The 13,471-nt window shown below is 35.4% G+C and overlaps 1 protein-coding gene across 12 annotated transcripts in view; it reads right to left on the bottom strand.

Moving 5' to 3' along the window:
- The window catches only part of RABGAP1L (RAB GTPase activating protein 1 like), an 835,789-nt gene that overhangs the window by 597,129 nt on the left and 225,189 nt on the right, over positions 1 to 13,471 (bottom strand). For all 12 annotated transcript variants that reach the window (NR_158982.1, XM_011510223.3, XM_047436028.1 and 9 more), the window contains one exon: positions 4,035 to 4,185. Coding sequence is in view for 11 of the 12 variants with exons in the window: in XM_011510223.3 (XP_011508525.1) it covers positions 4,035 to 4,185 (151 nt within the window). In the remaining variant the exon portion in view is untranslated. The remainder of the gene's footprint in view (positions 1 to 4,034; positions 4,186 to 13,471) is intronic.

The following is a 13,471-nucleotide window of genomic DNA, read 5'->3' as shown; positions in this document are numbered from 1 at the left end:
GAGCTTCCTGATTGGCAATATTCCAAGTGTATATTGCTACATATTGATGCTAGGCAGGTAATGAGCCCTTGAGGATAATACCAGGAGGGTAACATATCCGTGAGAATGATGGAAGCTTCAAATTTGGAATTCTCCTAGTCCCACATTCTGCCCTATACATGTCTTCCTTTGGCTGGTTCAGATTTGTATCTTTTTGCTACTAAAAAAACAAACAAACAAAAACACTAAACTACAATTGTTTAAGTATAGCACTTTACTGAGTTCTGTGAGTTATTCTCGCAAATTATCAAACCTGAGGAAGTCTGTGAGGATCTACAAGTTTGAAGCTAGTTGGTCTGAAGTCAGGGTGGCACTAAGAACCCCCAAATTGTGGCTGATGTCAGAAGTCTTGAACAAAGCTGGCAGTCTGGAGGACTGGGCTCTTAGCCTCAAGTCTGGCTACCTTGAGTAGACTTTGTTTTTCTTTTCTTCTTTTCTAAATGTAATGCTGGGTGTAGAAAAGCCATCTTGTGAAAACAAGGAGAAAAATACATGCCAAGTGTATCAGACAGGGTTTAATCAGGTAAACTATTTCAAAAAAGATGTAATGCAGGAATGAAGGTCCTTAAACACTGAAAGAGCTGAAAGGGCAAAAGACTGAAGACTGAACATCCTGCTGTAGCAGTCTTTTGCCCTTCCAGCTCTTTAGGTGTGTCACCACAGCTACAGTCCAGAGAATCAGAAGGCTGCTGTGGCCACTCAGGATAGGAAACCACAGGAAACAGTAACCCCAGAGTGAAGGCAAGTGATTGAGAATGAAATGCCCAGAGGCAGATGCAAAAACCTCACAACTGGTGAAGCCCAGGTATCTGCCAACCACACTGCCAGAGAAAATATGGCTTTTGCCTCCCCGCAATCTTCACTGGCAGAAAGTAAATCACAGCTAGAACTCCAGAGGGAAGAAATCTAAAAAATGTAATTTATCAGCCTCCAAGTATCTTCCATATATTTTATTCAATGAAAATGATTTTTGCCATTCTGTTTTTTGTGGTTTGAGACTGGGTCTCACTCTGTCACCCCAGCTGAACTGAAGTTTGATGGCACAATCACAGCCCACTGCAGCCTCGATCTCCTGGGCTCAAGCAATCCTCCCATCTCAGCCTCTCAAACAGCTGGGACTACAGGTATGTGCAACCATGCCCAGCTAATTTTTTTTTTTTTTTTTGTAGAGACAGCGTCTCACTATGTAGCCTAGGCTGGTCTTGAAATCGTGGGCTCAAGCCATCCTCCCACCTCCACCTTCCAAACTGTTGGAATTACAGGCATGAACCACTGAGCCCAGCCCTATCTCTTGATCTTAAAGTATTTTTTGCAAGTTGTATAGTTAAAACTACCATGGTGTTTGGTATAAATGATAAAAATTTTCTCACTATATGAACATACACTGTTTATCAAGAATTCATAAATAATATCAGGGGATGGTATTCTTTACATTTTTCCCTTAAAATTTTTAAAGGTATGAATTATGAAAGCCTCTTAGTGAAAAAAGGGGTATGGCAGTTACCTCCTACCCCATGGCAGCCAATAAAAGTATATAATTTAGTTTATTATTTACAAGAAAAAGTAATTTGATACCCAGAGTTATGATCTCTGAAAATTTCAATCAGATACTCCATCGATAAAAACTTCTAGGCATAAATATCTAACATATATATATTTATCATGTACAAGTGCTATTATACTAATATATTATAGATATTATAAAGCACAGAAATTTAGATAGGATGTAAAAAAGATAATTAAAAATGCTATAAAATACTATTCAATATTGAATATGGATCTTTTTTTGTGTGTGTGAAATTTTTCTATTGTGTTAAACATAACATAAAATTCACCATTTAGAAGTGTACAATTCAGTGGTTTTTAGTATATTCATAATCTTGAGCAACTGTCACCACCGTCTAATTCCAGAATATTTCCATCATCTAAAAACAAACTCCATATATCTGTTAGCAGTGACCCCCAATTCCTTTTTCCTCCAACCCCTGGCAACTATTAGTCTACTTTCTGTCTCTATAGGTTTGCCTATTCTAAACATTTTATATAAAAATAATCATAAAATATGGGTCACTATTTTTAATATGTTTGTTATAGCAGTTTATAAAACAACAATGAAAACTTGTTTCTGCATCAGTTTTTTGATTCATGGTTTTGTTATCATATCTAAAAAAGACTTACAAAGATCCACAGACCCAAGTAGACGTACATCATTTTTTCAGTCCCACTCATCAATCATTTTGTTGAAATTTGGCTAGGAAATATCTACTTTCTCTAGGTATTCTTTCTTTTTTTTTTTTTTTTTAGAGACAGGGTCTTGCTATGTTGCCCAAGCCAAAGTGTAGTGGCTAGTCACAGGTGCAAGTTCCTGGCCTCAGGCAGTCCTCCCACTTCAGCCTCTCAATAGCTGAGACTCCAGGCATATGCCACCACACCAGCTTCTAGATATTCATATGAACAAATCAGAAGGTGTTGTGTTTATATGCTTTTAACAATCAGTTCCAAATTCTCTGCAACTACTTGTATAAGTTTTAAACATATTTAAAGTTTCTGATTCCAGGTTTTTAAGTGTGAAGATGTAAGAGTTTTTTATAGTGATGCATGTTATTTCAATGAAAAAAATCACAGAGGTGTTTAAACCGCCATATGTTTCAAAATGTCCATCTTTGTTACATGAGTTTGTTTCCAAAAGTAGTTGCTTTGTCATTATCATAATATTAATTCTTCCCTGAAGGAACATATTAAATTAAAAAAAAAACTTGACATGCAGCATCCTGTGATAGTAATCTTTTTAAGCCAATCACACATTTTATGAGGATTAAGTTACATCTAGATAACCTGTAAATCCACTTAATCTAACACATGCAAACTGCAAGAAACCTATAATATTTTGGAAGTTAATATACGAGTGTGAGCCCCACAATTATTCCTCCAAAGTGTGTAAGTTCCATTCTTCCCTAAGGTCACTCCTGAACCATGTGGGACCAGTGGCCACTGGACCCAAGGACCTCATAAAGCCTCAGTACTATGGCACACCAAATATTAGTACAGCTTAGTATCCTTTGGTGTACTTATTTAAAAGAAATACAAATGGAACTTTGGACATTTTTTCCCACACACCAATGGATCATCTTGCATATTCCAATGCAGAGGCCATCAATTTAAAAAAAAAAAGTTAAATTAAAAAAAAAAAACTGAATTCAGCAGTGATAATTATACTAGGCACTCAGAAAATATTTATGGAAGGGAAGGAGGCAAAGAGGAAAGAAAAGTAAAAAGAAATTACAGCAGATAAAAAGTTCTAAAAGTTCATATAGTCTGAGGAACAAAGTCTTGATTATAAAAATCTCATTTATGAGGAGAGGTTCCTTTAAATTAAAAAATAAAATTTTACTATTATTTTAAAATACAGTACTTAGAGTAGATTAAGTAATTAGGTGGTAAGACCTAGGGTGGTGAGTCCAGGGTCAAGGCCAACACCTACCTTTACTTATGCTCTAAAACCAGGTATTTAGACATAAGCAAAGGAATTTACAGTGGAACCAAGGGCCCCTGACAGAAAAAGGGCAAGTATCTACATTATTTAAATGTAAGGTGACATAAGCACAGAAGAATTTTTAATTTCATTTTAATGTTATTGTAAAATTATACAAGAGTAACTATGTATGATTATAACTATATAAATCTCATACAATTAAAAAAGGTTAATTGAAAAGTTAGAAAACACTTGAAATATAAATATATTCCAATTTGGTAAATAGCTATTATAAAATCACTTGAATGAAAAGATAAAAACCAAGGCATACAATGTTCATAGATGACTAAGTGCATTGTTTACCACTACAAGTGTTCAGAACAAAAGGTAGAAGTACTGACTTCACGACCTCAATATATTCATGAAGAAGTTCAAAGCATTTATGACTTATGGGAGCTATGAAAACTAGGATTTATTTAATAGGTCATCCAATGAAAATAATATGAAAAGAACTTCTTCCTACCTTTGTGATAAGAATTCGGTATCTATCCAGCATTGCCTGGTTGTCATGGCAGCCTGCCAATAACTGCCATACCTCTGCCCTCAATGCTTCAGGGACACCACTCTTCACCAGAGTAGACAGCCCTTTCGGTCGTGCACCAAGGTTACTGTGCCTGAGAAGACAAGAAAATAATCCATTCACACTTCCTTTACAACTCCTGAACTGCTGTTGCCATGAAAAGTATACTAGTTTATATAAAAGTGTAAGCTTGGGTCAAGAGAAAACAGTTTGTGGGGGGGCATTAAACAATAGTACTGCTTAAGCTCAGTTATATCTTCAATTTTTTTATTGATCTCATCTTCTTATTGGTGAACCAGGTAATTCTACCTCCAGGAAAAGCTTGTTCTTCTTCTCACTTACTTTTAAAAATCATCCTATGGACTTACTCATAATAATTAACGTGTTAGTTATATATTGCTAGGCAACATTTCAAGGCATAAAAAGAACCATCTGGATTCCCTGAAATGAATGTACAGCAAGCTGGACAATGATGTGTGGTAGGAAATAGGGTTCAGGAAATGATGTTGAAAACGGATCATAGGCCTATCACACCTTGACTATACCCACTTCTCTGAGGCCAAGCTGAGCTGGGCCAAGTGCCAAAGACAGACTCCACAGTATAGGAGGCATAAGGCATACATATTATAGTCAAGTTTTACCTGGCGGCCACATCCTGACTCCCAGGTCCTCCAGGAAGCCCTATCTCTTGATGACCTAACTTGGAATTCTTTGTTCAAGCATAAACTTAGATATCAATGAACCTCCAAGTTAAAACAACCTAAGATAGGTTTTCTAGTAAGAAGAGTTCATTATTGTTTACATGTCTGAATTTGTCTCCCTGACTTGTTACAACAGCAAGTGCTCATTAAAGGAAGGACCTAACCCTTTCCTACAATCACCAGAACCTACACAACAACTCCAACTTGCTGGGGAAGCAACACATACTTATCAGGCTTTACCACATCCCAAAGGTGTGCAGCGTCAGAACAAAGGCAAAGATCTCTCCTCCTAAAATCAATGATCACAACATAGTAAATATGCTACTATGCCCATCTGACCAAGAAACTGAATTGCATATCTCAATATTGTGAATGCAATTTCATTTGTCATCTTTTTCCTGGTGCCTAGCTTGAATCTGGAACTATATTCTATGCCTTTTTGCTCAGACTTTACTTGTATTTGTTGCTCATTTTTTATCTATTAGAGCTGACTCTGGTGCAACCACTGGGACTCCAAACCTTGACAATGTACTCTGGTTTGATCTAACACCCCAGGCTCTGGTTTCAAGTTTTGAGCCTCGAAAGTCATAGAATCCACATGTCTATTTTCTAAAAGTGGCCTCCCACCTGCTTCACTAGATTATACACACTCTTCTACCTCTAGCTCAAACCCCAGTATTGGCATACCTTCCTCTGAAAATATATTCCTTGCTTTCCCCATACTGTCATATTTGGGCTATCTCAGAAAAAAACTAAAACTTCCACAACTGAAACAAGTTCAAGTAAACTCATCCCATTAATAATTTTAGTAAACCATCAGATTTAATGGTTTCTTTTAGCCTTTTCTAGCTAAGCTTTTGTATTGTTGGGTTAGAGAAACTAAGCTGATAATACTGATGGGCTTGAAGCAAAAATAAACTAGAGAAAGGCAGAGTTTATATGACTTAACGTGCTACCATACCTTAAAATAACAGTTATGCTGCCAAGTGACAAAAGCAAGTTTCAAATTAGTAAATAGGTGTTAGTTTAAATACACCTCCATAACCGCTATTTTGAAACCTGCTTTTAGACATGCATAGAAAAATAATATGGAAGAACATACTCCAAAATATCTGTGTAATAGAATTAAAAGGGAAAGTAGCCCTTTTATTTTCCTATGCTGTCTGAAATATTTATAATGATTTTAAATTCTTTTATAATCATAAAACACAAGAAGTCATTTCAATTCTTTAAACTTCTCTCGTGGCTTTAAATTAAAACATAATTTTAGTTAATTTGGAAAAACATCATAGATAATTATGCTTCACAAAATATGTCAAGTAGAGGAAGAGTATTAATTATTCTTCAGAAGACTTCCACCTGAATAAACTATTTGACAAGGAATATTATGCCACAAGAGAGCCAGGATTAGTCATAAAAGGATCTTTTTGTAATTTAATGTTTGGCTGTGATTATACTGTTGAATAGGAAAAACATATGGGTTAAGGGTATTAGTATAGAAAACTGGGTTAATTAAAAGCAATGATGTACAAAGAGCAAAGGTCATTTCCTCTCAAATTAAATGCAAAATATTCTAAATTATGAGTCCAATAATTTATAATATCATGTAAGGGAAATCCAAAGTAGTTAAATATAGTATATGTTACATGTTATATAGAGATCAGCAAGTCATCACTGTGTCTCTACAGCTATTAAAACTCCAATAAATTAAATTAATTAAAACTGCATGTGAAAGAATCCTTTCTTGGCTGGGCACAGTGGCTCATATCCATAATCCCAGCACTTTGGGAGGCCAAAGCAGGCGGATCGTTTGAGCCCAGGCGTTCAGACCAGTTCCAGACCAGTTCCAGACTGGGCAACATGGCAAAACCTCATCTCTAGAAAAAAAACAAAATACAAAAAACTTAGCCGGCCATGGTGGCATGTGCCTGTAGTTCCAGCTACTTGGGAGGCTGAGGTGGGAGAATCACCTGAGCCTCAGAGGTTGAGACCAAATGAGCTAAGGTCACACCAGGCAGGGCATCAGAGTGAAACTCTGTCTCAAAATTTAAAAATTAAGAACATTGAAAAAAATCCTTTCTTCAATGCCATGCGCAATTCTCCATCACACTCTTACCCTGTGCAACAAATTTCAAGAGTTGGTATGGAAGCACTATCTCTATTTCTTCCCCTCCAACTCCTACCTCAATTCAGTTCAACATGGCTTCTGCATCTCTCCTTGAAAAGTTTTCACTTAAATGATCTATGACTTCTCTCCATGCCCCACTGGATTCAAGACATATTTTCACTCCTTTCACTGTGGACCAATCTGTTTCCCTTGGCTTCAGTGACAAAGCACTACTTCTTTATCCACCTTCACAAACTCCATTGTTGATTGCTTCTCCTCTATTAACCTCTTAAGGGCTTGAAGTTATCTCTCTTTACTCTTGCCCTTTTCTTTCATTCTCTTGTCTCTAGGCATTATCACCTATAAACATGTATCCCAAGTTCTAGAAGCTCAAAGGCACCTCAAAGTCAGTATGCCCAAGTCTGAACTCAGTTTCTTCTCCCTAACCTGGTCGTTTTCCAGGGTATTCCACCTCAGAAATTGTTACCACACTCCATCCAAACTGGAAACCTAGGAATTATTTTTGCCCCATCATCTATTACTAATCCACCACCAAGTCTAATACATCTTATTTTCTCAACCTCTACAAAGTTCATGCACTTCCATCTCAACTGCAACCAACTTTATCCTCCCCAGACTTCTGCAATAGCCTCCTAACATTCACTGGACCTACTATAACATATTTCCAACATTGTAGGCAGAATGAAAGTAACAAGCAGCTTGATTAAATACTCGGTTGGCCCAGATTATTTTGCATAATGATTTAACTGTAATATTTTATATAATGATATATAATAACATAATGATTTAACTATATTTTAAAGTTTGAATATCTCTTCCTACACATGCATACACACGTACATAAACATACTCCTTAAGATTAATAGTCAACAGTCCCCAATGAATACTTTACCATAATATAATCTAACTCAATTGACATTCAGTTTCTAGCTGACCCTCAGCCACTTGTTTGGCCAGGCATAATGAAAATGTCTTTTCTCCTCTCTTAAAAATCAAAGCACTATTTATCTTTAGAGACAGGCATTTAAAAAGAACTGGGTCACTCATAACACTGCTTGATTAACAGCCTTATTTTACTGGTTATCCCAAGTAACAGTACAGCAATTATACTGCATACAGCACCCTATCACTTGAGAAGTACTAATAAATATTAAGCTAGATGCTGCTAGTATATATCTATGATCAGAGAAGATCCAAATAAATAAAAGAGAAATTTATAAAAATAATCATTGCTTTCAATATTTCTGATTAAAATGTAATTACACATTGCCATTGCTTTGATACATTAACTGCAGTTATCAGGAACTTGAAAATAGGCAACTAGTTATGATACATGCTGAACTCTACCCTAGAAACAAGACGGATACCTAATACAATTATTTTTAAAGTCATACATAAATCAAATATCTATTAATCATACAGTAATTGGCTAGGTTTTAATGCATGAATAGAAACTCCACAATGGCAAGAATCTTTGTCTTCTTTACTTATATATCTTAAGCACCTAGAAACAGTGCCCCACATATAAAAGGCATTTAATACATTTTTGGTAAGTGAATGAATATAATTATGAAATGAAATTAATATGTCAATTACTAAAGCTAAACAAAAAAGAATGCTTTTTTAGAAGCAAACATTCTCACTGAATTTAATAGGATCAAAAAAATGTCATGGACTCATCTAGTGGATTTCCTTTGCTTTCAAAGAGGATTTTCTTGAAACTACTTAGGCATATAAGAACTCTACTTTTAAAGATGTCTATTGGGAGATAAAATTTCAAAGGGAAAGAGTTATTTCTAACAAAAACAGCAGAAAAAGCAAGAGATGAGGGGGATAAAAGTCATTGAATGTGACCACTGAAAAGTCACCAATGGAATTAGAGAAATTTTGATAGGAGGTGGAAGTAGGTGGCTATGAGATATGAGAATATGACACCAGCAGCATGACCTATTTGAAAAAGTTCTCTCTAGAAAGGAAAAGACTATAACTGAAATTAAAAGATGAGGTGGCATCAAGAAAGGTCGGAGATTTCTCCATCCCGCAATAATGAGAAGAACTAGATACGGAGAAGTTATACGACCTACATTAAGAAATGTTTCAAGAAAAAGGATAGATTAAAGGTCATTATGAAGATGAAAAGCATATTAATTCAGAATACATTTTCCCACTCTGCTGATAAGTAATGAATAGCCATGAAAATACAATTAAAATGCCTACTAAATATGTATCAATTTTCTCTTATTCAATAAAAACAGCAGAAAAAGCAAGAGATGAGGGGGATAAAAGTCATTGAATGTGACCACTGAAAAGTCACCAATGGAATTACAGAAATTTTGATAGGAGGTGGAAGTAGGTGGCTATGTACCAATTTTCTCTTACTCAATAAAAAAGAATGACCGATTTGAAGGTGACTTTACTTGATGTAATAATCCAATACCCAATTATTTTCCTCCAATGTTCACTTAGTCTTTTTGGTTAGAAAATCTTCCTGCATATTCTTCCTGCTAAAAGTTGACTTACTAAGTATTCACAGTAAGCACTACCTTTATTTTTGTCTTTAAACTTTTTTAAGTTTTCCATGCATCTCAAAACCTGAAGCAGTTATCCAGATATTATTCTGCCTAATCCTTTAAATTATTTAAATAATAGTTAAATCATCAGCATTACCATTCTGAATATATTCAACATATAAAAGAAATCTTGCTACCACGTTTAGTTTTGTTTTTACAAGTTCTCCTATCCCAAATGTTTTCTCTCTCTCTCTCTCAACCTTTCTTTCTTTAGCTTATGTGCTTTTTTCATGTAGTTATTTCAATACACCTGTATCTCCAATCTGTTATAAAGACCTCCAGTACTGAACTTTTTATACAGTCTGTTCTTAGTTTTCTATATTATTTTTATTTTTTCTAATGATTTCAAATTAGTATTGAAATATTTTTCCTTTACATCTTTCTGATAGTGTATTTAATTATAAGAATTCTGACTTTATTCATGTTTTGCTTTTTTAAAAGAATGATCTAGCTATTTAAGAGTAAGTTCAAAATCTTTTCAAACACGTTTAAAATTTCACTGAGCATATATACTGTATCCTCACTTTAAAAAATATTTCCCCAAAGCACAAAGTGTAGGACTCCACATGACAGGTGCTTTACCTACATAAATCACAAAAATGTCTATATGTAAATGCCTACCTATTTTTCCCGACACTTAGGAAATTTCTAAATCGAATGTTTCAAAAAGAAATTTGAGCACAATTAAAAATATTTGACAATCCTCGTATAAAAGACATAGTAGTTTATACTTCTGTAGTTTACACAAATGTTACCCTTTTCATATCATGACATAATTATAATAATGGCCCAAATAAAAAAAATTTGAATTGTAAAAAATCCAACAAGTTTTCTAAAGGTCTAAGAATCAATTATGTTAGTTTTTTAAAACAGTTCCCTCAGATCTTTAAATAATTTCCTAAAGTCCATTAATAAAAATATTATTAGAAATATTTTATTTCTGAAAAAAATGTACACTGAATTTCAGCTGAGCAACCCTGTCATTTCTACCTCAGAAGTCTTTTCCCATTTGGAGCCTCATCTCTGTACATAGGGTCAGTGAGTCTGGTATAAATATCATCAACCCATGCAATTACTTCCCAATTTGTTTCTCTGTTAATCAATGTTCTTCCTACTCCAATATTACCTTCCAAAAAAAAAAAAGAAAAACCCAATGGGAGTCTCAGCTTAAAGAAATTTGTTAGATATTGTCTTTATTGAAGTTGGGCAGTGGGCACATGAGACTTCATTGTATTATTTTATTTCTGTGTACATTCAAAAATTTCCATTAGGTCTACAATGCTTACAGAAGGATTTATTGATAATATCACAATTTTCTGTTTAAAGGTCTGCATGCCTCTATAACATGGTAAACCTTGAGGGTAGAAACTATCCTTACTCATCTTTAAATCAGCAGTGTCTGTTAAAGTCCCCAAGAAAGAATAGATGATTAAGACTTAAAAGTTGAATGAATGAATGAATGAAGTGACTTGTTTTACAGGAAAAAAAGTGGTCAAGAAATGTGAAACAGCCTCAGTGTTTCAGTTACTTTGTTAAATAATCTCTTATGAGTATGCATTCCCACCTACATTGATTATAAACCTCAAAGGTAGAAACTATGTTGTTTTCTATGTAACTCTAAGAGTCTAAGATGATGCCTCATAAATTTATATTGAAGCAAGTAATAAATCTTGCATTTTAGAAACTGAGTGGAGATCTCTATTTGACTGTTTATTTAGTCATCAAAATATTTTGTTTTCTTACCCACCATACTGCCATTCTCATAATCTCTCTTTAAAATCATGACTAGAAGCTTCAAGTACTGCCTGGGCCAGGGTTATCGATTTTCCTAGTTTATTCACTTACTCACTAGAACTTCTACATGCTCTTATAAAAACTAATCTAGGCCGGTGCGGTGGCTCACACCTGTAATCCCAGCACTTTGGGAGGCCAAGGCAGGCAGATCATGAGGTCAGGAGTTCAAGACCAGCCCGGCCAACATGGTGAAACTCCGTCTCTACTAAAGATACAAAAAATTAGCCAGGCGTGGTGGCCCATACCTGTAATCCCAGCTACCCAGGAGGCTGAGGCAGGAGAATCACTTGAACCCAGGAGGTGGAGGTTGCAGTGAGCCGAGATCGCCCCATTGCACTCCAGCCTGGGCAACAAGAGTGAAACTCCATCTCAAAAAAAAAAAAGAAAACACAAACACACACAAACACACACACACACACACCCTGTTCTGGCTCTAAAACCAGAGTGGTTTAGATTCAGAAACTGGCTCTGTCATTTACTTGATATGATCATGGGCAAATTACTTATTGGCTGTGAGATCTTGAGCAAGTTACTTAGTTGCTGCCATTTTGTTTTCTGTATTTTTACACTAGCTACCTAATATAGCTATGCCTCAGTTCTCTCACCTCTAAAATGAAGATATAATAATACCTACCTCAGAGAGCTGCTGCAACAATTAAATTAACACATGGAGAGTGCTTAGAACAGAACCTGGCACATAGTAAGTACACTGAACTGTCAGTTATTACCTCTGTAGCCATGCCTCACCTTTCCTTCCGTTACAATGAGCTATCTCTGCTCCCAAATTCAACCCCTCCACTAGTCAACATATACATCTTTTCTTGCCTATTCATCAAATTATCCTACAATTATGTCCTCTTTCTCTGACACTATCAAATTTTCTGTTACATCCTTTCTAACAACATACAAACATGCTATATTGCCCATTTTAATAAAAAACTCTCAACCCACATCCACTTACTAATGTGTCCTCGTTTCCTATCATCCTTTTATAGCAAAACTATTTTTAAGAGCTATCTATATCTGCTGATTTCCAATCCAGCTGGGCTTTCATTCCTGCCTCTCCATTGAAACTGTTCTTAAGATCACCAGTGACACCTAAATTGTTGAATCCAGTGGAATTCTAGGCTTCATCAGACTTCACCTATCAGCACTTGACTACTGTGTCATTCTTGATAGACTTAGTTTACTGGATTTCTATCTTGATTCTCCTCCCACCTCACTGGTTGTACTTTCTTGGGCTCCTTTGCCTGATCCTCCTCATACGTCCAACTCCCAAACACTGGAGTGGTCGAGGGTGCAGTCTTTGGATGATGTCTTCGGATGATGTCTTCATCTAAACTCACTCCGTAAGTAATCTCGCCCATTTCATTCTAACAGCTTTAAAAACCATCTATATACTGATGACTCCCAAACTCATATTTCCTTCCCTATCTTTTCCTTGAACTCAATGTTACATGAAATTGATTAATGGACATAGTCACTTGGATGTCTTAAATGCATCTCAACATCTCCAAAATCTTGATTTTATCCTCCAAATCTCTCTTCTATATTTGAGTAAACAGCAAGTCTTCTAGTAGCTCAAGCCAAAAACTCTGACATCAGTGGCCAGTTATTTATTTTTCTCAGGCCACACAGAAAAGAGAAGCAAATACAGTCAGTACTCTCTTAAAATATATCCAGAATCCGATCACATGTCACCCTCTGCTACCAGCCTAGTGCAACATGTAATTATCTCTCCCCTGGATTATTTACAATAGCATTCTCCTAATCTGCCTGCTTCCACCTTTGTTCCCTTATAATCCATTTTTCACTGGGCAGTCAGAATGATGTTTTTAAAATGGCTAAATCAAAATATCTCACCATGACATGATCAAGACACAAATTAGTCAAGTAACATTCCCAGGGTTCAAGATGAAGCCAGATATAAGATAAATAAATCTATGTATAACCTAATAGAGAATATTACAACTTAGATTTCTTAAAACACTATATAAGACAAGATAATTAATTACCAAATATAGATATATAAAATGTTCATAAAATTGGACAGAAATCTGTAGTGGTAAGAGATATTTCATCAAAAAATTCAGTCAATAAATATGAATTGAGCACCTACTATACTCTAGAAACTGCAGGAGATGTCTCTAAAACAACAGTGACTTTAAGGAGGTCATGTGCACTTGA

This window comes from Homo sapiens, chromosome 1 (genome assembly GCF_000001405.40).
Source record: "Homo sapiens chromosome 1, GRCh38.p14 Primary Assembly".
Taxonomy (NCBI): Eukaryota; Metazoa; Chordata; class Mammalia; order Primates; family Hominidae; genus Homo; species Homo sapiens.
The sequence above is the reverse complement of the archived record's forward strand: the minus strand, read 5'-3'. Positions and strand labels throughout refer to the sequence as shown.